Below are 26,662 nucleotides of genomic sequence, written 5' to 3'. Positions count from 1 at the left end.
CCTGACCTCGTGATCCGCCCACCTCGGCCTCCCAAAGTTCTGGGATTACAGGCATGAGCCACTGCGCCTGGCGTGAAAAAAGGCTTTAAAAAAAAAAAAAAGAAAAAGAAAAAAAAAAAAAGAATCTCCACATCTTAACTCTTGGTCTACTGCAGAGCACTCCCTGACTTACCAGGAGCCGCAAGCTGATACCTTTTCAGATGCCTTTTATATTATGAGTTCACTCATTTGAATTCCAAGGTTCTGAAGACTTGTTGACAAAGGAGTTTTCATGTAAAAATAACCTAGTGGTTGTCTCTGGCAATTGCAGATAAGCTGCTTTAGCTTGCATTTTGCAGAGGAAGGGAAAGGGGCTCTCACTTGTTCCCACCCCATGACGTCGTTCTTACCCATGCACAGTGAGAGGCAGGAACCAAACTTCAGCTCCCCATGGGAAACTCAGGGGGTCTCTCTCAAGGCTCCCGCATTTCCTGACAAGGCAGGCCTGGTGAGGAGGCAGCCACCCCAATACATACTGCAGATTTCAAATAAACTCCAAACTAGAATCACCCGCCTCCCTCAGCTTTTTGACTGTAAACGCCAGCTGGAGCTAACTCAATCTAAGGTTAAATTCAAACTTTGGATATATTACCTTGTGTATTATAAATATATATATAATTTGTATAAATATACTTTAAAAGCCATTCTATATATGTGTGCTATAAATATATGTGTGTATACACTTAGATATTTTGTTTTTATTTGAAATAATTTGAAAGATACAGAAAAGTTGCTGAAATAATACAAAGAACTCTCATATCCTCTTTACCCAGGTGTCAACATTGGGCTACATTTGGCTAATTATTTTCTATAGATAGATACATAGGTAGATATTTTTATTCCCCTAAAGCATTCAGGAGTAGATTACATACATCATTCCTCTTCACTGCTGAATATACCAGTGTTTGCCTGAGAACAAGGGTATCCTCCTACATAACCACAGTATAGTTATCAAATTCAGGAAATTTAGCATTGAGACAATACTGTTATCTAATCTACAGTTTATAAAATATGGTTATAATGTATCCCAAAAGTCTTAGTGCAGAGTAAGCTATTTAACGTTTTTAATACAACAAAGAAAAATGTTTTACTCACAGCTAATTCATGAGAACCTTCCCACCAATTTATAAGAACAAATTATTTGCTCCATATATTATTAATTGATCTAGATATTTTTAGTTTGCTTCTTGGCCTAAAGCCTCTAGACACATCCCTATAAATCCAATAAGGCAATCCCTGTCCTGAAGATACCAAGTTGGTGTGAAGGAGCTGAGATTTTATTATAAGTGCAGGTGATCAGAGGAAGTTCCAGGGGTAAAATACAGCCTTTAAATATCTTAGCCAGATTTGGGCTTCTGGGAAAAATGAGAATTAAAATGTAGGACTAGAAATGCTCTTTATGAAAATTACCCCAGTACTCATAGGAAAAAAAAAAAAAGCATAACTCACAGCCACACCAGGAAACTGACAGCAAGTCTGTAAACCAAGAGCAGGAGCGTGTCTTGTCCCCAGCGCTCTCACTTGGGCAGGGGCAGGGGCCAGGGCCGCTCTCCACTGTGAGTACGTGGGGTGTGTGTGAGTGTGTGTAGTCGTTTTGTAATAATGGAACATTGGTATTGTATCAATACCACTTACCTGTCCTCAGCCACGCTCAGTCTCATCCCCTTTGCTTCATGTCACTGGAACACGCCATTGAATAGATGTCCCATCAGGGCCAGGCTTTCCTCCCCTATCTTTCCTCCCCTATCTCCTCCCCTCGTCTCTGCTTTGAGACTTCACCCCAACAGTCAATCTCTCCCACTCTTCTCTCTCTCTCACTTTCCTTCTGTCTCCATTGGCTTCTTCCCTCGTGACTCAGAACCTACTCAAATCTTTCCCAGGAACCCAGTCCAGGTGCAGCCTCGCCTGCAGAAGGCCGCCATGCTGGGTGTGGTGCCTGGGGAAGGTGAAAGGTCCAGGAGCAGGTTCAGAGGCCAGAACCCCCATGGACATGTGATGGAGGAGCCACCAATGAAAAGAAAGCAAAACAGTGCCTTCGGTCCAGAGAGAGGCTGGGATGGGCATGGCAGGGGCCAGGGGACTGGGTGGTGAAAATTAACTTTATACAAGAGATCGGATAAGGATAGAACTAATAGACCAAAGGACATAAATAAATGTTTGGCTTGTAATAACTACTTGTGTTTTGTAGTTTCAAATTCTCAATACATAAGAGTTTACTTTTACTTATCTGTAATGCCTTGGGCCTCGACTTGTGCCCAGATAAGAAACATTAAGGAGAATTCCCATCAGGCAGTCTCTCCCACAGTTAATGAACTTTAAAAAGAAGAAAAAGAGAAGCTACAAAGGGAATTCTTGTTTCAGGCTCTAGGCAAAACCTGCCATGTTGAGGTCAATTGGTTTCACCTCCTTTTGACCTGCCTTTTTGCACAGGAGGTAATTAGGCAGATTGGGTTTCAAGAAGTCTTACTCAAGAGCCAGCCCAGGTGGCTGCTTCTGCCTGTTGACGGCAGTTAACCTTAATGCTAATGAAGAATAATGTGCCGGTGAGGGTCTCAAATCAACAGCTACCAGCAGTTCAGATTAAGAAGGAGAAATGGGCCGGGACTGGTGGCTCACACCTGTAATCCCAGCACTTTGGGAGGCCAAGGCAGAAGGATCGCTTGAACGCAGGAGTTTTGAGACCAGCTTGAGCAACAGAATGAGACTCCGTCTCTACAAAACATTTAAAAATTAGCCAGGTGTGGCAGTGTGCATCTGTCCTCCCAGCTACTCTGGGGGCTAAGGCAAGGAGGATCACCTGAGCCCTGGAGGTCGCGGCTGCCGTGAGCTGTGACTGTGCCACTGCACTCCAGCCTGGTGACAGAGGGAGACCCTGTCTCAAAAAACATGAATGAAAATTGTAAAAGGAGTAAAACTTTTGCAACAGCACCCTCTCTATTGCAGGCAAACAGAACAGCGAGGTTCAGGGATTCCAGAAAAGGCAGGCATTTGACCAGACAGCGTGCCTGCCAGTGTCGAGGGGAATGATGTCGATTAGAATGGTCTGCTAGCGCACCACTTAAGTATGTCTATAGACTGGCTCTGTCCCAGCACCACCGTTACTTTACAAGCTTTAAGCCTCACGACAACCTGATGAGGTAGCTTTGAAATCACTTCAGTGAGGAAACTGAGACTCAATGAGATGAAGTCGTTCCTAAGATGATTCAGCTCCTAAGTGGCAAAGGTGGAATTCGATAGAAGATTCTGACTGGAAATCCCTCATTCTTTCCCACTGGGTCTAAAAAGCAGACACTAAAACAATGTTAGAACCAACAACTGTACCCCATTCCTTGCCTGCCCTCTAATTTCAGATGGAGGTACACTTTTCTTTTTCAAAAAGTTTCAACTGCCTGTAAGATACAATTCCAGCCCTTTCTCCTGGAGTTCAGGGCTCTGGGCTGGCACCTGCTTACCTCTCAGTCCTGCCTCCCACTGCTTCCCACTGTGGCCTCACTTTTTCATAACTCCCTCCACATACTCTGACCCCCAGTGTGTGGGTTTCTGGTGCTCTTTCACCTGAGTGTCCACATCTGGATGTTCCCTCTTCATGATAAGCCACCACTTCTGCCTTCAGAAACTCATAGCTTGAAGCCTGTCCCATTGCCAAGTCATCTGTGAAGCTGTCCCTGACCTTCCCAGACCCCTGCAGCTGCTCCCTTCCGTGGAACCCTGTGACATTCGGCCCAGACCTCTCATTTGACATTTGCCAGTTGCAAACTTGGGTTTTATATGAGGGTACCACATTCATAGACTACCTGGGCCATGGGTAGCGAGTGCCAGCCTTGGGTTTTGGGTCTGGGAAGCCCCAGAAGGACACCCAAGTTAGGAAATTCCAGACAGAAATCTGCCAAACATGACATCATAGGGCCGGGAAGGGTTTGGAGCCCAGGGGCCAGGCAGAGGATGAGAAATCAGGTCAGTAAATATTGGCAGGCTAAAGAGAAACAACACTGAGCAGTGGGATTACAAACTTAGATAAAAACTTAGATGTCAGCCGGGTGCGGTGGTTTATGCCTGTAATCCCAGCACTTGGGGAAGCCAAGGCGGGTGGATCACCTGAGGTCAGGAGTTCGAGACCAGCCTGGTCAACATGGTAAAAGCCTGTCTCTACTAAAAATGTAAAAATTTGCTGGGTGTGATGGTGCGCACCTGTAGTCCCAACTACTCGGGAGGCTGAGGCAGGAAAATCGCTTGAACTTGGGAGGCAGAGGTCGCAGTGTGCTGAGATCGTGCCACTGCACTCCAGCCTGGGCTCAAAACAAAAATAGAAAAACTTAGATGTCAAAACCTAGCTCAGGTGTAGTGTGATGGGCCAGAGACCTTTGGGATGGGGACCAGGAAGAACTTTAAAAATATGCTTGCAAGCGCTTCCTGGAAGACCACAGAATCAACTAGGGACATTCCTCCTACTGATGTTGATTTGTTAAAAGAGTATTTATGGAAATTAAACAGAGCCAAATAGGATTATAACTCAGAGCTTTCCATGGTCTTCAATATACACGTGGGAATTGTGAATCTCTAAGACAGGAATACAGAAGGCAAGTTTTATCCAGCTTATTTGAATTCCTTGGCCAGGGAATTCTTTCTCTTAAGAGCCTCTCCCGGGTGCCGGGCGTGGAGGCTCACGCCTGTAATCCCAGCACTTTGGGAGGCCGAGGCGGGCAGATCACGAGGTCAGGAGATCGAGACCATCCTTGCTAACACGGTGAAACCCCATCTCTACTAAAAATACAAAAAAAATTAGCCGGGCGTGGCGGCGGGCCCCTGTAGTCCCAGCTACTCTAGAGGCTGAGGCAGGAGAATGGCGTGAACCCGGGAGGCGGAGCTTACGGTGAGCGGAGATCGCGCCACTGCACTCCAGCCTGGGCGACAGGTGACAGAGCATGACTCTGTCTCAAAAAAAAAAAAAAAAAAGAGCCTCTCCCAGTTAGTGTTCTTTAGAACAGGGGTCCTCAACCCCCAGGCTGCAGACAGGTACCATTCTGTTACCTGTTAAGAACCAGGCCGCACAGGCCGGGCGTGGTGGCTCACACCTGTAATCCCAGCACTTTGGGAGGCCGAGACGGGCGGATCACGAGGTCAGGAGATCGAGACCATCCTGGCTAACACGGTGAAACCCCATCTCTACTAAAAATACAAAAAATTAGCCGGGCATGGGTGGTGGGCGCCTGTAGTCCCAGCTACTCGGGAGGCTGAGGCAGGAGAATGGCCTGAACCCGGGAGGTGGAGCTTGCAGTGAGCAGAGATGGCGCCACCGCACTCCAGCCTGGGCGACAGAGCGAGACTCCGTCTCAAAAAAAAAAAAAAAAAAAAAAAAAGAACGAGGCCGCACAGCAGGAGGTGAATGGCGGGCCAGCGAGCGCTACACCCTGAGCTCCACTTCATGTCAGATTAGTGGCGGCATTAGAGTCTCGCAGGAGAGCGCAAGCCCTGTTGTGAACTGCGGATGCGAGGGATCTAGACTGTGTGCTCCTTGTAAGAATCTAATGCCTGATGATCTGAGATGGAAGAGTTTCATCTTGAAACCACACCCCACTCGGTGGAAAAATTGTCTTCCACAAAACCAGTTCCTCCTGCCAAAAACGTTGGGGACCGCTGCTTTAGAACACTCTTAATAAATGCTATTTACATTTAGTCTGACCCATTTGTCATTGTGGCTAACAAAGTGGGAAGATTGGAAAATTTGAGAGAGAGGAGAGAGAGAGATCAGGCTTTATTTTACCAAATTTATTACTGTATTAAAAGCTAGAATTTTTGATAGTTTTGAACAAAAGCTGTTACGAATACCAGACTGGATTAGTAACAGCCAAGATAATCATAGGATTCTTTGAGATGTGCATCATAAAACTGGAATCCTACCAAATGATCTGAGGCATTTCTCAAGTTGATGTCTGATACTTTCCAGAATTAAAAATGCTGAATGGATATGTAAGAATAAACCAATTCTTAGTTATTTTCAGCCTGATCGTCCTCATTTTCTCTTATGAAAAAGCCCTGCTTTCATGACAGAACCTATTTCAAGGGCTTATTTTGTTAACTTTTGGGACAGTTCTTTAAAGAAACACACACACACACACATTATCTACATTATTCCTGTCTTAATTCTCCACCTACACCACATGTGAAGAAATCCTTTGACACTTGACCACCTCTGCCCCCTTCCAGAGATGGTAAAGACAAAGTTGCATACATTTCAGATAGAAATGCTTTAAAATAGAAAGTGACGCTTGTAAAGTGATACAAGTTTCAACATCAAACAAAAATTATTTTGGGGATATTTGCCAATTTATCTCTACCTCTTGTCTCTTCCATTGTGAAGGTGACATAAGGTTGAGCTAGTCTTTATTTATGGACATGATTTTAATCTAACTTTTGGTTCAATCTTTTCAAATAGTTTCCCCAATACAGTCTCTAACATCACACAAACAGATTCCTGATGTCATGAGTAGGGGTGTTTTGACCTAATCCTGATTCGGAGGTTAATCAGCACACTGTTCATTTTTCCCATCACAACCAACAAAACTACTCCGGATATACTTCAGACTCCAGTCTACAGCAGTCTCGAAAACACAGCTTCCCATATCAATAATCCCAAAAGTACTGTTTTCTTTCATCCTTTTTGAACTCAAAATGTCCAGCGGGCCTTCATATTTTGCTTTGATTTGGCAACTTTTCCTGTCCAGATAATTGGTGGTGTGCATTGAACTAGTTAAGGTGGAACAAGAGTCTGAGAAGCATGCTGCTTTATTTGTGACAGAAATAGTCTGCTTAGTTAAAGTAAAAGTTGAAAAATATTAATGAAGCATTGTGGCAGTTGTATCCTATCAGCATTCGAGTGACCTGGGTGTGTAACTCTTATGACTGAAGAGCTCCCTCACAAGGTATTCCTGATGGAAGCAAACGGGACTTAACCCCTCAATAAGATCTCAAGTGAACATTTGGGCCTTTGTACGTCCTGTCTCTTAAAAGTCATAAGCCAAAGCCTTGTGGCAGGAAAATGAGCTAGTCATGGGTTACCCAGGAAGTGACCAGTTTCCAAGGGGATCCCTTTGGGCCTCTAGGGATTACCTGAGTCCAGGCAATTAGGCTGCTATGGCCACCTCTGTTCTGCTCTTCACATGCACATCTGTTCAAACAGCTGTCCAGGTCCCATAAGAGACCTTTGTTTAACCAAGTAAATGGCTTTCTTCATTTATTAAAAGCATTTTACCTTTCCCTCAAATAAGAACAGATTGTGAGGACAAAATGACATTATAGATGTGAAAATGGTTTGAGAGTAAAAGTTGAATTCCAACATTATTACAATGATGACCCTATCAGTAATATAGGCTTTACATATATCCTCCAGGCACTTGTAAAAAATGAAAAACAGGCCAGGCACAGTGGCCCATGCCTGTAATCCCAGCACTTTGGGAGGCCGAGGCAGGTGGATCACCTGAGGTCAGGAGTTTGAGACCAGCCTGGCCAACACGGTGAAACCCCATCTCTACTAAAAACACAAAAATTGGCCAGGCATGGTGGTGGGCACCTGTAATCCCAGCTACTTGGGAGGCTGAGGCAGGAGAATCACTTGAACCTGGGAGGCAGAGGTTGCAGTGAGCCAAGATCGCGCCATTGCATTCCAGCCTGGGCAACAAGAGCGAAACTCTGTCTTAAAAAAAAAAAAGCCAGAAGTTATGTGAAAAGCTGAATTTAGATCAAGACACTGTGTGTGTATATATTCTTGCATGTGCATATATGAACACATATGTTTGTGTATGATGTTGGCCAAGACATGTAACCTGTATGCCTCAGTTTCTGGATCAGCAAAATTGGAATAATACCTCTGCCTTGTTGAATTGCAAAAAAGGGAAAAAAAACAGAAGTTAGAGTTTAGATTTGAAATTTTCTTCCCTTCTCATTCACCTTGCAAAAAATCCTCCAAGTTAAACAAGTTTCAAATGAATCTGGACGTAGACTAAGGCTCAGAACTACATGGACATGTTAAGTGTCAAACGCTTGGAGCCAAACTGGTCCTGGCCTAGGAAAGTCTGAGAATAACAGGTCTATACTGATGCTGTCCTGTTAAAAGTTTCAACTTGCATTTACGAGAAAGCAAAAAGAGTTGATGTGTTTTCAGGTTTACTGAAGAAGAAATTGGCATAGAGAGATTAAGTCTAATGTGAGGTCTCATGGGCACAAAGGGTCAGAACCTGGGAGAAGACCCAGGTCTCATATCATCCCCTCTCAGGTAACATGCACAGGGCTTTCAAAAGTCACGAGTCTCAAGAAATAGAAATGCTTTTACGCTATTGATGGGAATGTAAATTAGTTCCACCATTGTGGAAGACAGTGTGGTGATTCCTCAAGGATCTAGAACCAGAAATACCATTTGACCCAGCAATCCCAATACTGGGTATATATCCAAAGAAATATAAATCATTCTACTATAAAGACACATGCACATATGTTTACTGCAGCACTATTTACAATAGCAAAGACATGGAACCAACCCAAATGCCCATCAATGATAGACTGGATAAAGAAAATGTGGTACATATACACCATGGAATACTATGCAGCCATAAAAAGGAATGAGATCATGTCCTTTGCAGGGACATGATGAAGCTGGAAGCCATCACCCACAGCAAAGTAACACAGGAACAGAAACCCAAACACCACATGTTCTCACTCATAAGTGGGAGTTGAATAATGAGAACACATGGACACAGGGAGGGGAACGACATACACCAGGACCTGCTGGTGGGTGGGGGGCAAGGGAAGGGAATCTAGAGGATGAATAAATAGGTGCAGCAAACCACCATGGCACACGTATACCTATGTAACAAACATGCACGTTCTGCACATGTATCCCGGAACTTAAAGAAAAAAAAAAGTCATGAGTCTCTCAAAATTGTAGTTTCCTCAACCCTACATCTCCCACTCATCTCTGTACCTTCTCCTATTTTCCACATCAAAGATAGCACAAGCATCTTCTTTTAACACATTTTGGAGTCACCCACCAACACCAATTCCCACGAAAAGTAAGCCAAGTGTAGTTTTATGAAAATCTGTTTGGTCCTCTTTTTTTTTTCTTTTTTGGCAACAGAGTCTCACTCTGTTGCCCAGGCTGGAGTGCAGTGGTACCATCTCGGCTTACTGCAACTTCCATCTCCCGGGTTCAAGCGATTCTCCTTCCTCAGCCTCCCAAGTAGCTGGGATTACATGTGCCCGCCAACATGCCCGGCTAATTTTTTTGTATTTTTAATAGAGAGGGTGTCTCACCATGTTGGCCAAGCTGGTCTCGACCTCCTGACCTCAAGTGATCCGCCTGCCTCGGTCTCCCAAAGTGCTGAGATTACAGGCATGTGCCATCTGGTGTCTGAAGTTCAGTCCTGATTGAAGACCCTGAGTGCAGGGGCACGTGTGTCCCCATGGCTGCTGTAGGCCACACTATGGGAAAACAAAACTCGCGCTTTTACAACCAGAACTCTGGAGCTGAAAAGACCAACCCTCCCTCTCTGAGTTTGAACTAAATAGTTTGTCTCTGTAGCATAGTAAACAAAGCAGAGCAGCTCATTAGCAACAGGATCTGCAGTGGTTGGTGACTATGTGCACAGCTGATGGGCAAGTCCCGGCCATCTTTCAGGATTCATTTATGCTGGCCGCCTTGGCTTCCTCATCTTGTACATATTTGGTTTAGAGAATGCGAGGAATTTGCTAGCTGAGCAAGTTTATTCATCCTGCTTTCTAACTAGGCTCTTTCCCACTGAGGTATGTTTCTAAAATTTCCCTCAGCAGGCTTTGTTGCAAAAGCAGTGCGGGGTTCAACGGGACAGTTTAAATCTAAAACAAATCCTCCCTAAAAATGCACTGTTCTCTGTCAGGACAGAATCTGGCTCTGTCTTTGAAACAGAAGTGCCTGAACTTATTACCAAAACTTCTAGCAAAGGCTGGAAGGACATCATCCCTCTATGTGCAGACAATACATTGAAAGAGGGCAATGGGACAAAGGTTATTTTCTAAGCACTCACTGCGTGCAACATGAGATGTCATTCCATTTTACTAATGTGAGAACTGACTGTTGCAGAAGTTAAATGACTTGGACAAGTTCAATTACTAAGTGGTAGAGCAGGAATTTAAAACCGAGTCTCATGACACAAGGCAGATTGCACTATGTGTGCGTAACCCCAAGTTGACCAACTGTATAACTAAATGTCACTAAGAAAGCGTAGACTACTAAATTAGATACTAAGATATCAAGGCTTGCATCTGTAATCCTAGCTATTTGAGAGGCTGAGGCAGGAGGATTGCTTGAGGCTAGGAGTCGGAGACCAGCCTGGGCACCAAACACAGTGTGACTCTCTCTAAATAATAAATAAAATACACTAGGTAAAATAAATAAATTAGATAAAACCATTATGCATTGAGTTGGAATTTAAGAAAAATATATAAATCAAAGTCTAGATTAATGACTTACAAAAATCATAAACTAAAGTGATTTTCTAATTTGCAAACAATCCTGATAGGTTGTTTCTAATTTGCAAACAACCTATCTTAATAATTCTTTGGAAAGTTACATTGGCTAGTGATGACATGAAGAAACCTTAATTTTTCTCATATTTAATTTTCTGGTGTGCATTTCTTTTGGAAAAAAAACATTAAATGTATCATATGGAAATGAATCCAAAAGTAACAATCAGTTAATTTCAGTTCATAGGTAATGTCCAAGGCAAAAGCAAGGAGAAAAATAAAATAGAACCACTGCACCATCTAGTGACGGAACTCTTGCTTTACAAGAAAACCACCTGATGCAATTACATTTTGCCAATCAGTCCCCAGAACTTTCTGAGCCTGAAAAATATTCATAAAATTGTCCAAAAGAAGAATGCCTAGTGACAATGAATCATAGAAAATTAAGAGCAGACAGGATAGATTCCTAAGTTTCCATTTGGAAGCTAGAGGCAAACCCAATTTTTAGTCCTCAAAGAGTGGGTGCCATGGATCCTGTTTACTTTCCCCTCTGCACCCAGAAGCTTGATGTAGTATTTTATGAGCTAATAAGGGTTTGAAGCCAGGCATGGTGGCACACACCTGTAATCCCGGCTACTCAAGGGGCTAAGGAGAAGGACTGCTTAGGCCCAGGAGTTCGAGACCAACCTGGGCAACACAGTGAGCGATCCACTCTCAAAAACAAAATAATAAAGGTTCAACTGCAAAACACAGATGGTGTAAGGATGTATTCAGTAAATCTGAAATGTTTCTCCACAAGCCTGACTAGGACTCATTCATAATGGTAAACACAAGGCTCAGTTTAAGACTAAAGCGTCTTTCTTCTAATTACCTTTCCCTGTAGTTTTGTCCAATGTAGGTGGTGATAAATCTGAAATTTACTAGCCAGGCATGGTGGTGCACATCTGTATTCCTAGCTACTGGGGAGGCTGAAGAGGGAGGATCACTTGAACCCAGGAGGTCAAGGCTGCAGTGAGCTAATTACACCACTGCACTCCAGGCTGGGCAACAGAGTCAGATCTCATCAATCACTCATTAAATCTGAAATAAGTAAATCCGAAATTTAATGTCTTATTTGAATGCTCTGCAAATAACAAAATGCCCAAAGAAAACTGACTTATTTTTTTAAATTACAAAAATATTACTTCAAGGGCCAAAAAAGATACTAGAACTAAAATAGAAAACTTTTTTGGGATCTCAAGATTTATATTTTGTCCAAGATGTTAACATTCATGGCCAGGGAGAAAATGTATTGAATAATTTTATGATTAGTGTGAATGAATAAAAAAAATTACCAAGGAAGAAGAAAATATATTTCCACGGAGTAATTACGTGGAATGAGTAGGTCAGTGTATGTGAAAAAACGTTTACTTCCATTATGCTTGCGCAATGTTTAAAGTGAAGCTAGTTTTCATTCCAGCAAGATTTGAAACATTTATAGTGACTGGCTCTGTCAGCTCCAATCTCTTCACAGGCAAGATAGCAGTTGAATCTAGTTGGGTACTTAGCACTTCCCTGAGAAATCCCAAACATTCAAAATATGCATAAATTTGACAATTCAAATCCTCGGTTGATAATTTTTCAAGACCACATAATTTCATCTGGTTTTTTACAGTAATGAGATATTATCTCATTACAGGTAAGAGTTCCCAAAATACTCTGTAGACACCAACACAACATAGTTATGTTGGGGGAAGCAGGTAATCGAGCAAGAAAACCCCAGCCCGGCAATTATTAGCTCTGTGGCCTTGAGCAGATTCCTACCTTCTCTTAACTTCAAATGCTTCATCTATAAAACGGCGATAAAACATATCACTTGAAGGGTTACCTTAAGTGTTAAAGAATACATAGGAAGTGTCTTTAACAGATAAGAAGCACTCAACAAATGGTAGCTCCTTATTAATAAAATTGATAGCATGTTTCTTTAAACGGTAACTCAGAAGTAGATGCTATGTGGCCCAGGATTGATCCTAGGCAAGTCTATTAACCAGACTTTATGCCTCACACCTTTTTTTTTTTTTTTTTTTCTGAGACAGAGTCTCACTCTGTCGCCCAGGCTGGAGTGCAGTGGCACGTTTTTGGCTCACTGAAACCTCCGCCTCCCGTGATTTCCCAGGCTCAGCCTCCCAAGTAGCTGGGACTACAGCCACACACCACAGCGTCCAGCTAATTTTTTTGTATTTTAGTAGAGACGGGTTTCACCACGTTGGCCAAGCTGGTCGCCTCTCAGCTTTTAAGCACTAACTCCTAAATCTGTAGGTAAAACAGGGCCAGAAAAATTGACAAAAAGGCAAGAGAAGACATTTGAGTCCATAGTGAATGAATTGAAAAGATTTATCACCAAGAGTCAAACACCCCATAAAGCTTTCAAAGACAGGTTTATTTATATATAAGTGCATGAAATTGAATACAGAAACTTTATTAAAATACTGTATATTACAAATTTTTAATCCAATAAATTCTGTGTAATGACATTTAAGTGCTGGATTCACTTTTTAACAGTTGTCTTGTGTGTATCAGTAAAGAGTTCACCCTGTATATTACAAAGAGGAGAGCCACATGTGGACCTCAGAAATGGTCCTGTGATTAGACACTGAATGATAGTAATTGTGCATCTTTTCCTTAAAGCAATGAATTGGAACCTAGATCTTATCTTTGTAGACCTACTTTCTATAATTAAAAATAACTTGCATATGTTTATTGCTGCCCTTTGAAGAAAATGAGAATGGTGAAAAATAATTTAAAATAAAGATCAACATCTCTAGGCTAAACTGATGCTTACTGCAATTAAAATTACTTAAAATTCACTGCAAAATTTGTGTTCTCCAGGAAATTATGCTATATACATAATGAGATTTGTACATGAATTGGGAAATAAAAAATTGCTTATATAAAATTAAAAATCAATAATATACAATATTTACAGCTTGTTAGGTATTATATATAAACATAGTTTTTAAAATAATCCTTCAAAATTAAACTGTTTTATGTAAACATGCAGTACACATACTCATATAGTTTATAGTCTTAACAGAAGGGGAAATTGTGTTCACATAACACAGGGTACTTCATCAAATATGCCTTTGTTTTTGTGTATTACCCCTCCAACATTTATTCTCCTGTCTTTAAGCTTCACAGTACATTTAGTATTTCTATAGTAAAAATAAATCCCTGATGGTAAACATATTTCTAAAGGTTAAAGTGTGTGCCCTGTACTACAGTATAAAACTAACACTGTTCACTAGAATCTCTAGTTTACAACAAAACTAAATTTTAAAGTCTCACACTTAATTTTCTTAACTACATTTTTTTCCATTTCATACTTGGAAAAAGAAAAAATAGAGAAAAATACCACATCATGAAAATATAGTGAAAGTAGCTGTCATCTGTCACAGTCAATGACTAAGTAACTGATTTACATTGAACCATATGAAGTTAGTAGCTACTATTCGTTAGGCTTTCTAAACTTTGAATTCCCAGTCACTGGTGATGTGTATCTAGCCAACTCACTGGTGCCAATCCTGAATCTTGCTAAATCCATTTTGCACAAGTATCTTAACTTTCAAGGCACTAAGGCTTCATTTAGCTTTTAAAATCTGCCTGTGATTTACCAAAAGATTCATCAGTGGTCTGAGAGTTAACACAATTTGAAAGTGAGACTTTTAATACTTGTCAGGTAAACTATATTTTTGCTATTTAAATAAAGACATTTTAGCTAGTTAACTTTCAAGATAAAGTTGATTCCCTCATCTCAGAATAACTAGAGTCAGGGGCTAATATTTTTGGTAGAATCCTATGAATTTTGGATGGCTAAAACAAAAAATACCGTGAATTTCCTATTTGTTCATCTAAATGCGTGCAGCTCAAGTCTGAATGTGTGTATTGGTGAGAGGGCCAAATCTTTCAAAAAAATTCTTCCATTGTAAATGCATCCAACATCAAAAACATTAAGAAAGTGTCAACAGTTAAACTATCAACTCATCTGCTATTAAAAGCAAGTCATTTTTATGATCATTTACTCAACAAGTGCCACTATGTTGCTTTCTATGGAGAAAACTTTAAAATGTTCCATTCCAAAAATACTTAACAATGATGTGTAAATACTTTAAAAACAAGAGAAGCGTCATCATCAGTAGTACTCTCGAGTTAACGTTCCTTTAAACAAGGCTCTAAAAAAAGTGATTTCTGCTTAATTCAGCAAGACAGAATAAAATTTTTAAAGTGGTGATTTTTAGGAACTACCAATTTATAAGAGAAAAAGTGTTACAGTTATGGGACTCAGACGATTGATTATGCACCGCAATTCCTCTTTCTGTGTATTTGTGTCAAACTGCTTTTCCGTTTCAGTTATCCACCTAAATACATTCCCAAAAAGGGTGGAGTCATGTTACTACCAAGAGTAGATACATGTGGGTGCAGTACATAATCGTAAAAATGTATGTATGAGGTTCATGCTCTCCTGACTTGCCTAAAGTATTTACTTTTCAGTAAGATTAGAGCTGCATAACTGTAGGGGTTAAGAGTATTCTTTCCTAAACCAGCTCCTTGGATTCTATCAACAAATTGTACATATGTTTAAACTATAACATACGACATCTGTATGGAAAGAGGAGGAAGATTTTTAGGAAATTGCTAAATTCGTTCTCAAAATCAGGGAAGAGTTATTATGTAAGTTCAGTATATGTGCAATAAATGTAAAGAATGTGAAAACAACTTCCCTAAACTCAGGGGAAGAGATGATTATAGTTCATAGCTCAGTTCACTCAGAAATGTGTTTCCACTAATTTAAAAGTATTATCTGATATATCTCCACATTTACTGAAAATACTTCAGATATTAAGCATTATTTCCCCCAAATTCATGGATACATTTTTAGATAATTCAGCAACCTCCCTAACAACACTGTACTGCCTACACAGACCAGAGCTCCTTAAGTGAGAAGAGCAAACCTGTCACCACACACACACACAAAATGCAATACAATTTCAAAATGCACGGTGGTCAGTGAAGCCTCACATATAAAGAAACACAGCATGTGTAAACATGCAGTATACATACTCATCCAGTATAGTTTCTAGTCCTAACAAAACACAGGATGTAGGGCGCTTTGTCAAATATGTTTTTGTTTTTGTGTGTTACCTCTCCAAATGCTATAATTTTTAATCAAATAATATCCTTTTTATCCTGAAGAGTCTTCTTCCAAGATGTTATAACAAGGACGGGAAGTTAAGAAAGATTATAAAACCATTTGATTATTGGTCCGTTTTAACAATTCAGAGTTTCACCCGATTATTAAAAGAAATAGTAATTTACCCAGTTACCCAAAAAGTGTTACCAAATTTCTCTGCAATCGAAATCTGCTAGAATTTCTTCAGTAATTTTCCTCGTCCCTCACATCTTAAAAACAAATAATGACTGCAGAGATTCTGATTGAGACTGAGAGAAAAATCTGTAGTGTCAAGAGTGAAGTGGTTTGAGAATATTTCAGAAATTGCTCCAGGCATCGTTACTCCCTGAATTACATAATGAACATAAATTTAAAATAATAGTATTTGAAGTTAAAAAAAAATAGGCTGGGCACGGCAGCTTACACCTGTAATCCCAGCACTTTGGGAGGCCAAGGTGGGTGGATCCCTTGAGGTCGGGAGTTTGAGACCAGCCTGACCAACATAGAGAAATCTGTCTCTACTAAAAATACAAAACTGGCCAGGCATGGTGGTGCACGCCTGTAATCCCAGCTACTCGGGAGGCTGAGGAAGGAGAATCGCTTGAACCTGGGAGGCAGAGGTTGCGGTGAGCTGAGATCATGCCATTGCACTGCAGCCTGGGCAACAAGAGCGAAACTCCGTCTCAAAAAATAAATAAATAAAAGAAACAAAATAACAGCTAGGGCTTAAGCACCCTTGGCCTGTGGAAGAAAGAACTTGGTAGACACTGAATATCGTTCTATTTTTCTACAGAATTGGCACTACACTGTAGAGCCAAGGGCCCAGGGCCGGCAGAAGAAACAGACATATAGAAGACTGAAGGGTTATATATCGCTCTTACTTTTCAAGAAGAATAATTAGCAAATAGCAGAAAGTCAATAAATCAACATGGCTGAATGAATCCAAGGGAAGTAAGTGGGAATAGATAAGGGAGTCAAGGCTGACTACCTCTCTACCCTTTTCCTATTTTAACCAGTGGTCAACAGAACTCCTAATTTAATCCTGCTTGCACTGGCCATTTCCACCACCACCAATTCACAAAAGGTTCTTAAAGATCTGCTGATTTTAAAAAGAAAAAGTGAAAAGGAGATGAAGCAAGATTATAAGAAAACGTTTTTAGTTTCTTTCCTAAAGCATATGTAAGGAAAATATAGAAATGAAACAAAATTGATGAATTTTACAAAACAACATATTCAATTGGTAATGCAATTGCAAAATGTAATTTAAAAAAATTCTAGAGACTATCAGTTGATCATTTACTGTGAAATACATACTGCTTTGCCATTCATAAACAATCTCACGTAATCCTCACAATAACTACATGAGGTATTAGTCACATTTTACGGAGTATGAACTGAGGCTCAGAGAAGTTAAGTGATTTGCTCAAGGTCAAAAAGTTGACAAGTGACAGAGTCTTAATTCAATCTGTGTTGCTGGCTTGGAGTCTCGTATTCTCTTCACTATGTCACAGCCATGATATCTCAGTTATGGAAATTCTATTTAGTGGATGAACCAGGAAAATGAGAATTTGGAGGGATAACAGGCTAACTCTCAACTAAAATCAGGAAGCAAAATGTTGTCCCAAACTTTTTAGGATTTAAAAATCATCTTGCTAGCTCTTGGTGTACTCAAGGTAAAGAATTCCATCTTGGTAATTCTTGTACTTCTTACTAGAGAAAATACTTGGTAGAGCACTTTACATAGTGGATCCACACGAAGTGTTTACAAAATAGAATTATTTGCTGTATGAGTGGCAGCCTAGGTACATCAATGTGGCAGCCACATTTTCTTCATTAGAGGTTCTTTAAAGACCTTTCCCACAACATTCTGTGATTTCAAATTATCCCGTTGCTCATATCACAAATACAAGATATACAGGCCAACTCATTTCTTTATTTCTCTCATTTAAAGTACAAACAAAACCCTTATACTTTTTTGAGCAGTGAAATGTATGCTGCAAATACTAAGAAAGTATATTGGGTAACAAACTGTAACACTGTTTGGTAAACATTAAGATCTAAAGAATAATTCTGCTCCAGGCCCTGAAGATAGCCATCATTTAGGACTTCACTTATCCTAGGCAAGGTAGGCTATTACCTTGGAACTGTCCCATGGTTCGGAAGACTGCTGGTTCTCCTTCTTTTAAAGTTTTAAGCATTATTTGCAGTTTATTTGAGGCCTCCTGACTAGCTGTGATCTATGGCATTTTTAATCAGTATGTTCAACTGTAATTAGTTTGGGCATGTAGGAGTTCCTTCTTTGGGGAGCTGATTTCACTATAAACAATATTTTATTAAACATTTTTTAAATAAAGGAGTGTCCACTATAGAGGATCCTCCCTCCCTTCTTGCATTTGTCACGAAGAAAATGTACTGCTAAATCACATACGAATTTTAACAAAGTATATAACCCAAATACATCAATAAGGACTTTTGTCATGTCCCAAACAAGGGTCTCCAGCTCTATTAAGTGAAGAAAATTTTCCCAAAATTCAAAATTTTCAAACATCCTCAAACCTATTTAAAAGATCATTACACTGAACAAATTTTCCACTAGAACATGAAAGTGTTCACTGAAAAAAAGCTTTCCAAGTAGACTGTATTCATATATAGCAGCTCTCTATATACCTATATAATGATATATACGTGTGTGTATATATATCATTAAACATTTCTTGTGTCTATAGGAAAGCTACTAACTTTTTAAAAATTTCAGCATATAAATAGCTATTAAGACAATTCACAAACTCAAACTATTCAACTGCATCTCAAAACATCAAAAGAGAGACAGTTGCACAAAATCTCAATGGAAATAACTGAAAACAGCAAAGAAACCAAAAATAACCCCTAAAATTAAAAGTATACACATACACACACAATTGATAATGTAAAGCAACTTGATAATAACTGCAGGACACTCTACAAACTAATTATTAACCGTTCAATTATACTTTCATTCTAGAGTAAAAACAATAGTTTAAATCTCTTTGGTCCACACATTAGTACATTTAATGTATCCAAGTTATTTTCTTGTTAATTTTGGATTATGAATCATGCTCCATATTACTTTACCATAACTTTCTTAAATCATAAAATAAACATATGTTAAAATAAGTATTCATTCTGGAGATCTGAAACAATTTCCACATGCTATTGGTAATTCCTCTGGAAGAATACGAATGCTTTAAATTATTGACAGAATAGCCAAAGTAAAAGAAGAACACAATTCAAGTCTGGCAGAAAAGAAAAAATCAGATTGACTTGGAAAAGTTATGCCTAAATTTAATTTGTAAAAACATCAGGAATATAAAGAACACATGAAAACAATTTCAGGCCTGTACATAATAAAAATAATCAATTTTAAGATTTACTTCAAAGATCCATGCATAGTTGCTTATTATTTTTTTAAAACAAATTTCCAAGCCAGTGTTAGTAAATCTCCCAAATTGGCTTCCATACTGAGAAAAGTACTGCCTCTCCAACTTCTCATTGGTAAGTTGTGGATATACTCTGCTTCTGGATAGAGAAAAAGTGGTATGGGTAACAAAGTTCTTAAATTTGAATGTAATATAACAAAGGCCTACTTTTATAGCAAATTGGATTAAACAGCAAGGCTACCAGGTTATTTTTGGATTATCCTTAACTTCATATTCTCTGCAATGTCTCCTTTGAGTTAGCACATTATAATTGTATCTGGTGCCAAAAAAAATCTCATTAGGAGACCAGTTCAACCCTACTTCCTATACTCTTACAATTACGTATTGCCAGAACCTCTTAAAATGTTTTATATAAAGGACATTTCCACTTTTGCTATATGCCCTCACAGATTCTTCTACTAAACTTAAATCATAACTTCATATCATAAATCAAGAACTGAACAACTGAATTACTCTAATACACGCTCAGTACTGCATTGATATGCTGAGACTAATTGCCAAATTTTAAAATTATCTACTATATTCCCCAATTTTTACTTAGCAAAATTATGATGTTGCCACATGTCCAAAGTAAAATAGTTCATTACTCTTCCTATATAACTTACTTGTTACTTATTTCTACAAATGAGGTCTTTATTTCCAGAGCCTAATTTAGGCCAGTCTCTAAAAACAGTTAATACTCCAGAATGAAAGACTGTTTATGTTTTGTCAAAAATCAAGATATATGCAACACGTAATACAATCCCACTGAGATACTAGTTATAAAGATGTTTTGTCCATGAGATACAAGGCAAAAACTTTCTTTAGAAGGGTCAAAGAATGCAACATGCATTTCAGACTTTTTTCTTACAAAAATTTTTAAGAAAATCTTCAAATTACATTTTTATGACGCACAAACTACAATCAATGTGTATGACCCTTCAAGTTTCTGAATTTGTATAAACAGAATATGGATGCATGAGAGAAGCTATTAAAAGGGTGTTACTTAAGTTGGTGAAAAGTATGCACCCTATAGAGCTACTCTGAGTTCTTAAAACAGTTGAGCTAGTCTTCAGTTAAGAAGACTTATCTTCCACATCAATTAAATAACAATAATACCTAAACATATTGAAGCCCTAAATCCCAGAAACGCGCAACATTAAAAACCAAATAATTTCTCTCATATTAAACAATTCAGTATTTAGCACTCATACGGGATTTAGTGTTACCGAACAAAAATCTTAGTACATTACCTGAATTCATGTCAAATATGTTCACAGCACTCAGCTACATCTACACTTGCAAATTGTCACATGATCAATGTTAACAAAAAGAAAAGAGTTTGGCACATATATCAATACCTCAAAACGTCCCTGTAACTTAACATAACACTGTTAGGAACGATGATTTCAACACCAATGTTAACCTGATAGGCAGCTAAACAAGGTGCTTTTTCTTGTAACTTTACATAGTGTCTTAATGCACCTTGCCTGAGACAGAGGCACATAAGGTGCAGTGCGGTAGTGCAATCACTTGAACACCAGAGGGCAATCCTTCCACACAGCTCAAGGTCTTCCTTATGCTTTGACCTGCTCAGTCCACATTCTTGCACAATTTCATTTCCACTTGTTAACAATGCCGTTTTCAGGGAATCTGTACATCTGTTTCCTTATGTGAAGTAAGACATTCCCACAGAAACCTCAAAGTGTAGCGAGGATCCTTGAAAAGGAGATGATTAATGTCAGTACAGTCTGTCCAACGCCCCATACCAGCGCTTCCAAAGGGGCCATGTTCTTCCCAGCTACTCTGTAAATGCCCGCTACTGCTGCACCTAAGGAGAAACGGGAGAAAAATGAAGGGATACAGTCACTCGTTTTATAACACACTGCATGCTGCACCTTAAGAGCTCTTTTCATTTCATCAAAACATAAGTCATCATTTTTTTCTCATTTTATCCACTTTCTATGAAAAAGTTTCCCTGTGATTGGTGAAAGTTACAACTTACCATAATACACTTAGCCACTTATTTGAAAAACAGACTTTTCTATTCAACCAAAAGATATATATTTATGGTATATGCTGCATACTTGATAGCAAATATGTTCATAAACAATGAATAATTCATTATTGCAACCTCTCACCTGGGCATTCAATTAACTAGACCTCTTTAGCATTTTTGTAAACATACAGTATAACATACTGATAATTACAAGTGATAATGCAGAAAAATAACATAATTTAATGTAATTTCTAAATTATTAATAAATATTTTAATATTAAAGGTATCTTTTCTGAATAATATGAATTCTTAAATATCATGTAAAATATAATACCTGACTAATCCATCTCACAATCTACCATACAAAATAGTTCTTGCTTTTTAAATAAACCATCCGACTCTAAGTTATTTGGAGACTAGTATCTTGACGTCTAATAAGAATGGAAAATGAACCTGACATCTATTCTAGTGAGGTTCCTTAGGTAATGTACACTTCTGAGAACGGGAGAATCTCAGTGTATGAGGAACCTCAGTGCTCATCTGATTCAACATCTGATCTTCACAGACCATCCATAATGATGTGGTATCTAAGCGGCTAACTTTAAAAGTACATTTAGGAACCATAAAGGAGGAAACATTTAAATTATAATATGCCATCCCACAGATGGAGATGGCCTGAAAACTCTTTTTCTAGAAAAACTGTCTATATATCCTAAAATGGTTAGATAAAAGAACATAAGACAAAGACGAGAAGTTATCTGAAAATACTGAATTGACAATTACAATTAAGACGGAAACCTACTCATGAAAATTAGAATATAATTTTTACTTGTCAACTTAGAAAAAAATTAGCTAAAGATTAATTATTTGTACTTCACTCAAAATCTTCCAAATAAAAGTTATTGTATTGCTCTGTAAGAGATGTAAACAGGAAAAGCAAATTACTAACCTAAGCCAAGGACTTTCATATACATGTTTTAAAATAAAAGGAAATTAAAATAGTGTACTTACCATATACTATGTATTTTGCAGGAACTTTACAAATATTATCATATTTAAATATCATACCACCCCCTCAGTATTATCACCTAATTTAAAGATGAAAAAAACAGAGGTTCAGAGAGGTTCAGTTACTAGCCCCAGGAAATACAGCAAGTACAAGAGCCGGGATTTTTCAATCCAGGTTAGTCTGGCTATAAATCCCAAAATCATTCTATCACTTCATATTTATACTAAGTGAAAATGAGAACGAAGAATTCAGAGAATGATAAAGTAGCTAATAAGCATCTCAAAACTCCTAGTAGCACCAACATTTACTTAACCAAACAATGAAATCACTTGTATAATTGGTCACATATCCAAATTTTAGGATTAGATGACATTCTTTAAAAATATTAAGTATCCTACACCTTTGTTATCAGAAATTATGTTAAAATAAACTAGAGTAATACTCTTTCTCTTTGGATTCATCCTAGATTTATATGACTATCTTCCATTTTAAAAACCACATTTTAGCCTCCATCCCTCTGATACTAAGTTTTCAATCATGATCCACAGCAAGGGGAAAATCGAAGCAATTACTAGCTCAGGCTGCCTGCGAAATGGCAAACAACTGTGTCAATTCAAACGTTGCATGCTTACATAAGGTGAGGAGCATGGGTTGTAGAGCCAGGCTCCTGGATTAAAATCCAAGCTCCACTACTTAGCAACTGTGTTACACTGGACAATCACAGCCTCCCATGCCTTGCTTCCTCCACTGTAAAATAGGTGGGCACGAAGATTAAGAGATGACACTTGTCAAGTGCTTAAAACAGTGGACGATCCTAGTATGTACTCAACAAATTTTGGCTAGTAGTCGTCATAGTAGTAAAGGATAAAGATAATTCCAATCAGTGATTCACCATTCAATAAATGGTGTTGGAATGACTGGTAGCCATTTCAAAAAAATAAATTTAGGTCCCTGCTTCACACCATTCCCCAAAATAAATTTCAGATGGATTAAATAACTAAATGTTAAAAACAAAAGTACACATCTAAACTTTAAAATGTAAGAGAATTATGTTTATGATCCTAGGAAAAGAGATCTTAAGACCACAAAAAAAGGGTAAAACCCATAAAGGTTTCACATCAATGAACAGACTGGAAAAATATTTGCTATATGCAAAACAAACTGATGATTAATATTTAGAATATAAACACACATATATACATGCATAAACACACACAATCAATACAGCATTTCTGTAATCAAACAAAAACAAAACAAATGTCCACCATCAGTTGGAGATAAACTATATGAAGTCCATACCATGAACCCATACAATTTCAAAAGGAAAATATAGATTTGTATGAACTGAAATAAAAATAACTTAGATATATCATTTAGGTAACAAAGAAAATAAAACATAAAACAATACATATTCTCTACTAGTACATACATACATATGTATGTGTGTATGTATGCGGTATGTATGTAAATATGTATGAATGAATGTAATGCATCAACAAATATCTGGCGGATACATACCAAACTGAAAATAGGGCTTACTTCTGAGAAGAGCACTAGTTTGAGAGTGTTGGTCAAAAGGGGCTTTGCTCTATCTATAATGTTTTGAGTTTTACATAATGAATATAATCATATATTACTCACGTAATAAAATTTTTAAACTCTAACTTAACTTCTATACCTAACTTGCCTAAAACACCCCTAAAATTCCAAGAAACTTTCATCTTAAATGTCAGGATATGAAAGATATTTCATTTTAAATGCCAGGATATCTTTCAATCCTATTTATCAAATAAAAATATTGGTATACAATGAAAAAGTTAAATAAACTCTTGATTTAAAATAGCAGGGCATAAATATATTATGGAATATAGTAGGAAATAACTATATTCCTTGTATGCAGCTATAACTTATTCATTTTCACTGCCATACAGAATTCCAAGTATGAATATACCACAATTTATTTATCCATTCTATGGCCAACAACATGTCTTTGTTTTCAGTCCTTTACAATCCCAAACACTGCTCCTGTGAATGTTCTTGTCTACGACCCCTAGCACACACATGCAGTCAAGAGTTTCTCCATGACCCACGGGTAAAACCAGAACTGCTCAGCCCTATGGTATGGGCCTTTTCAACTTGACTAGATAGTGCCAAATTATTTTTCTAAATTAGCTGTACCAATGTGTATTTCAGTTACTCCATATCCTCAGAGGCAGGTGACATCCTTTTTTGTTTTTTAATTTTTTTTGCCAATCTAGTGGGTAAGAGATATTATCTATCTGATTAATTTACAAATCCTTGGCAATTAATGTGATTGAGTTTCTCTTCACATATTATTAGCCATTAGGGTTTCTACTTCTATGAAATGCTTAAGTCCTTTATTCACTTTTCTACCGGGTTGTCTTTTTATAACTTGAGTCACAGGGTTTTTAAAAAATATATAGTCTAGATATTAATCTTTTTACAATTATATGAAGTTATATATTATTTTAACAAATATCTTACCCCAGTTTGTTCTTTAGTTTTCACTCTCCTTAGGGTGTCTTGCTGAACAACAGCTAGTTGAAAGAGTACATTAAGATCTTTATTTTCTTGGTGATTTATGAGGCTAATATATGCAGGCATGCAGAGAAGTGGGATAGGGTTCTTGAAATAAATAACGCATGCGGATCTGCCACTGTCAACAGTGGCAAACATGATCAATTAGAAATAAGGAAAGATCCCAAATGAAGTGGAGAAAGCAATACTGCCAAGATGATCTGAAGGTGAGTAAAATATACAAAACTACAAGAACGAAGGGGAACAGGAGAGTCATCAGCAGACAGAAAACACTGATACACAACATCAAGTGCCTGCAGATGAGCATTCCAATGAAAAGTGATGTGATCTGCCCTGTGTATTTCCTGACAGAAAGCAAATGATAGCCTGTGGTCCTAGCGACTCAGGAGGCTGAGTTGGGAGGATCACTGGAGCTCAGAAGTTCAAGGGTACAGTAAGGTATGAGTGTGTCACTGCATTCCAGCCTGGGCAGCAGAGCCAGACTCTATCTCTAAAATGGAAAAAGAAAAAAAAAAAAAAGCAAGCATATGATAAAGGTTAAGGGTGAAGAGGCACAAAGAGCTATGGGTGGAAAAACAGAAAAAAAAATAGAACAAGGTTAAGGCAAGAATTAGTTTTGATAATGTGTTGATTCTATCAGTTTGCATAGTTAGATCGAGGTTGGCAAACTACAATCCACAAATCTGGCCCACCCACCTATTTTGTACAGCATGCAGGCTAAGAATAGTTTTCACATTTTTAAAGTGATTTTTTAAAATCCAGAGATTAACATTTCATGATACATGAAAATTATATGAAATTCTGATTTTAGTGTCCATCAATAATGTTTTCTTGAAATACAGCTGCACTCATTTCTGATACTGAATTATCTTTGCATTCCAAGAATAGCAATTCCTAAGGTTCTGGTGTAGCCCTCATCTTGTTTAGCAACAAGATTACACTGACCTCTGCAAACAAGCTGTGCACAGCTTTTATTCTTTCTATTTTCTGCAGTAACTTGGATCAAATATGAACTAGTTGTTCTTGAAAGTTTGGTAGAATTCTCCTGTAAACCCCTTTGGGCCTGGAGTTTTTTGGAAGAAGGGTTTTTAATATTGCAATTGGCAAAAATAATTATTTTCCTATTCATATGTTCTATTTCCCCTTATGTCAAATTTTGACATTTTATATTTAGGTATAGCTGTTCATAAAACTATTTTATTTTTATAATTCTCTATCTTTATTATTGAGATTTAGTATTTCTTCTATTATGCTCTGTATTTTACTCTTCTGCCTTAACCCTTTTTTCTTAGTTTGCCAGCAGTCTATTCATCTTATCTCTCCAAAGAACCAGTTTTTTGTTAATCTTTCATATACCTGACTTACAAAGCTTAATAGTATTTCTCCACACCAATAAAACTAAACAATGTAATCAAAAGATATCCATGCACAATAGCCATAACAGGAGTTTGGGAATTAACTTCATAAAAAGTATACAAACTTCCTATTGAGAAAAGCATTTTTAAACTCTAATAAAAGACGTAAAAGATGATCTCAATAAATAGAGCTACACTACATGTTCTTGGGTGATATAATATGGCAATTCTTCCCAAATTATCCTCTATATTCAGTTAAATCCTAATAAAAATCATTATCATACTTTTTGAGCGATCCAGTAGACATAGTCTAAAATTTATATGAAAGAATAAAGGCCCATCAACAGCTGTTAACTTTGAGAAAGGAAAGTAACAAGAGGGACCTATTCCTGACAGATATTAAGATATACCACAAAACCACTGGGATTAAAAAAAAAAAGTGACCTTTCTACAAGAATAGATAAAAAGACCAATGAATCAGAATAGAGTTCAGAGACAGATCCCTGTACTTTGAGAATGTAATATACAATAAAGGTGGCACTACAAATC

The 26,662-nt window shown here is 38.1% G+C and overlaps 1 protein-coding gene across 2 annotated transcripts in view; it reads right to left on the bottom strand.

Moving 5' to 3' along the window:
• Positions 1-12,928: 12,928 nt before the first annotated feature.
• Positions 12,929-26,662, bottom strand: part of TMEM170B (transmembrane protein 170B) — a 45,776-nt gene continuing 32,042 nt past the window's right edge. The window contains exons 3-4 of one of the 2 annotated variants that reach the window (XR_007059185.1): positions 20,445-21,022; positions 12,929-19,291 (exon numbers count right to left, since the gene is read on the bottom strand). Coding sequence is in view for 1 of the 2 variants with exons in the window: in NM_001100829.3 (NP_001094299.1) it covers positions 20,892-21,022 (131 nt within the window). In the remaining variant the exon portion in view is untranslated. Of the gene's footprint in view, positions 21,023-26,662 lie in introns of both variants that reach the window. The other variant, NM_001100829.3, reaches the window with a different exon arrangement.

The sequence above is a fragment of the Homo sapiens genome, chromosome 6 (genome assembly GCF_000001405.40).
Source record: "Homo sapiens chromosome 6, GRCh38.p14 Primary Assembly".
Taxonomy (NCBI): domain Eukaryota; kingdom Metazoa; phylum Chordata; class Mammalia; order Primates; family Hominidae; genus Homo; species Homo sapiens.
This window is presented reverse-complemented; position numbering and strand designations above follow the sequence as displayed.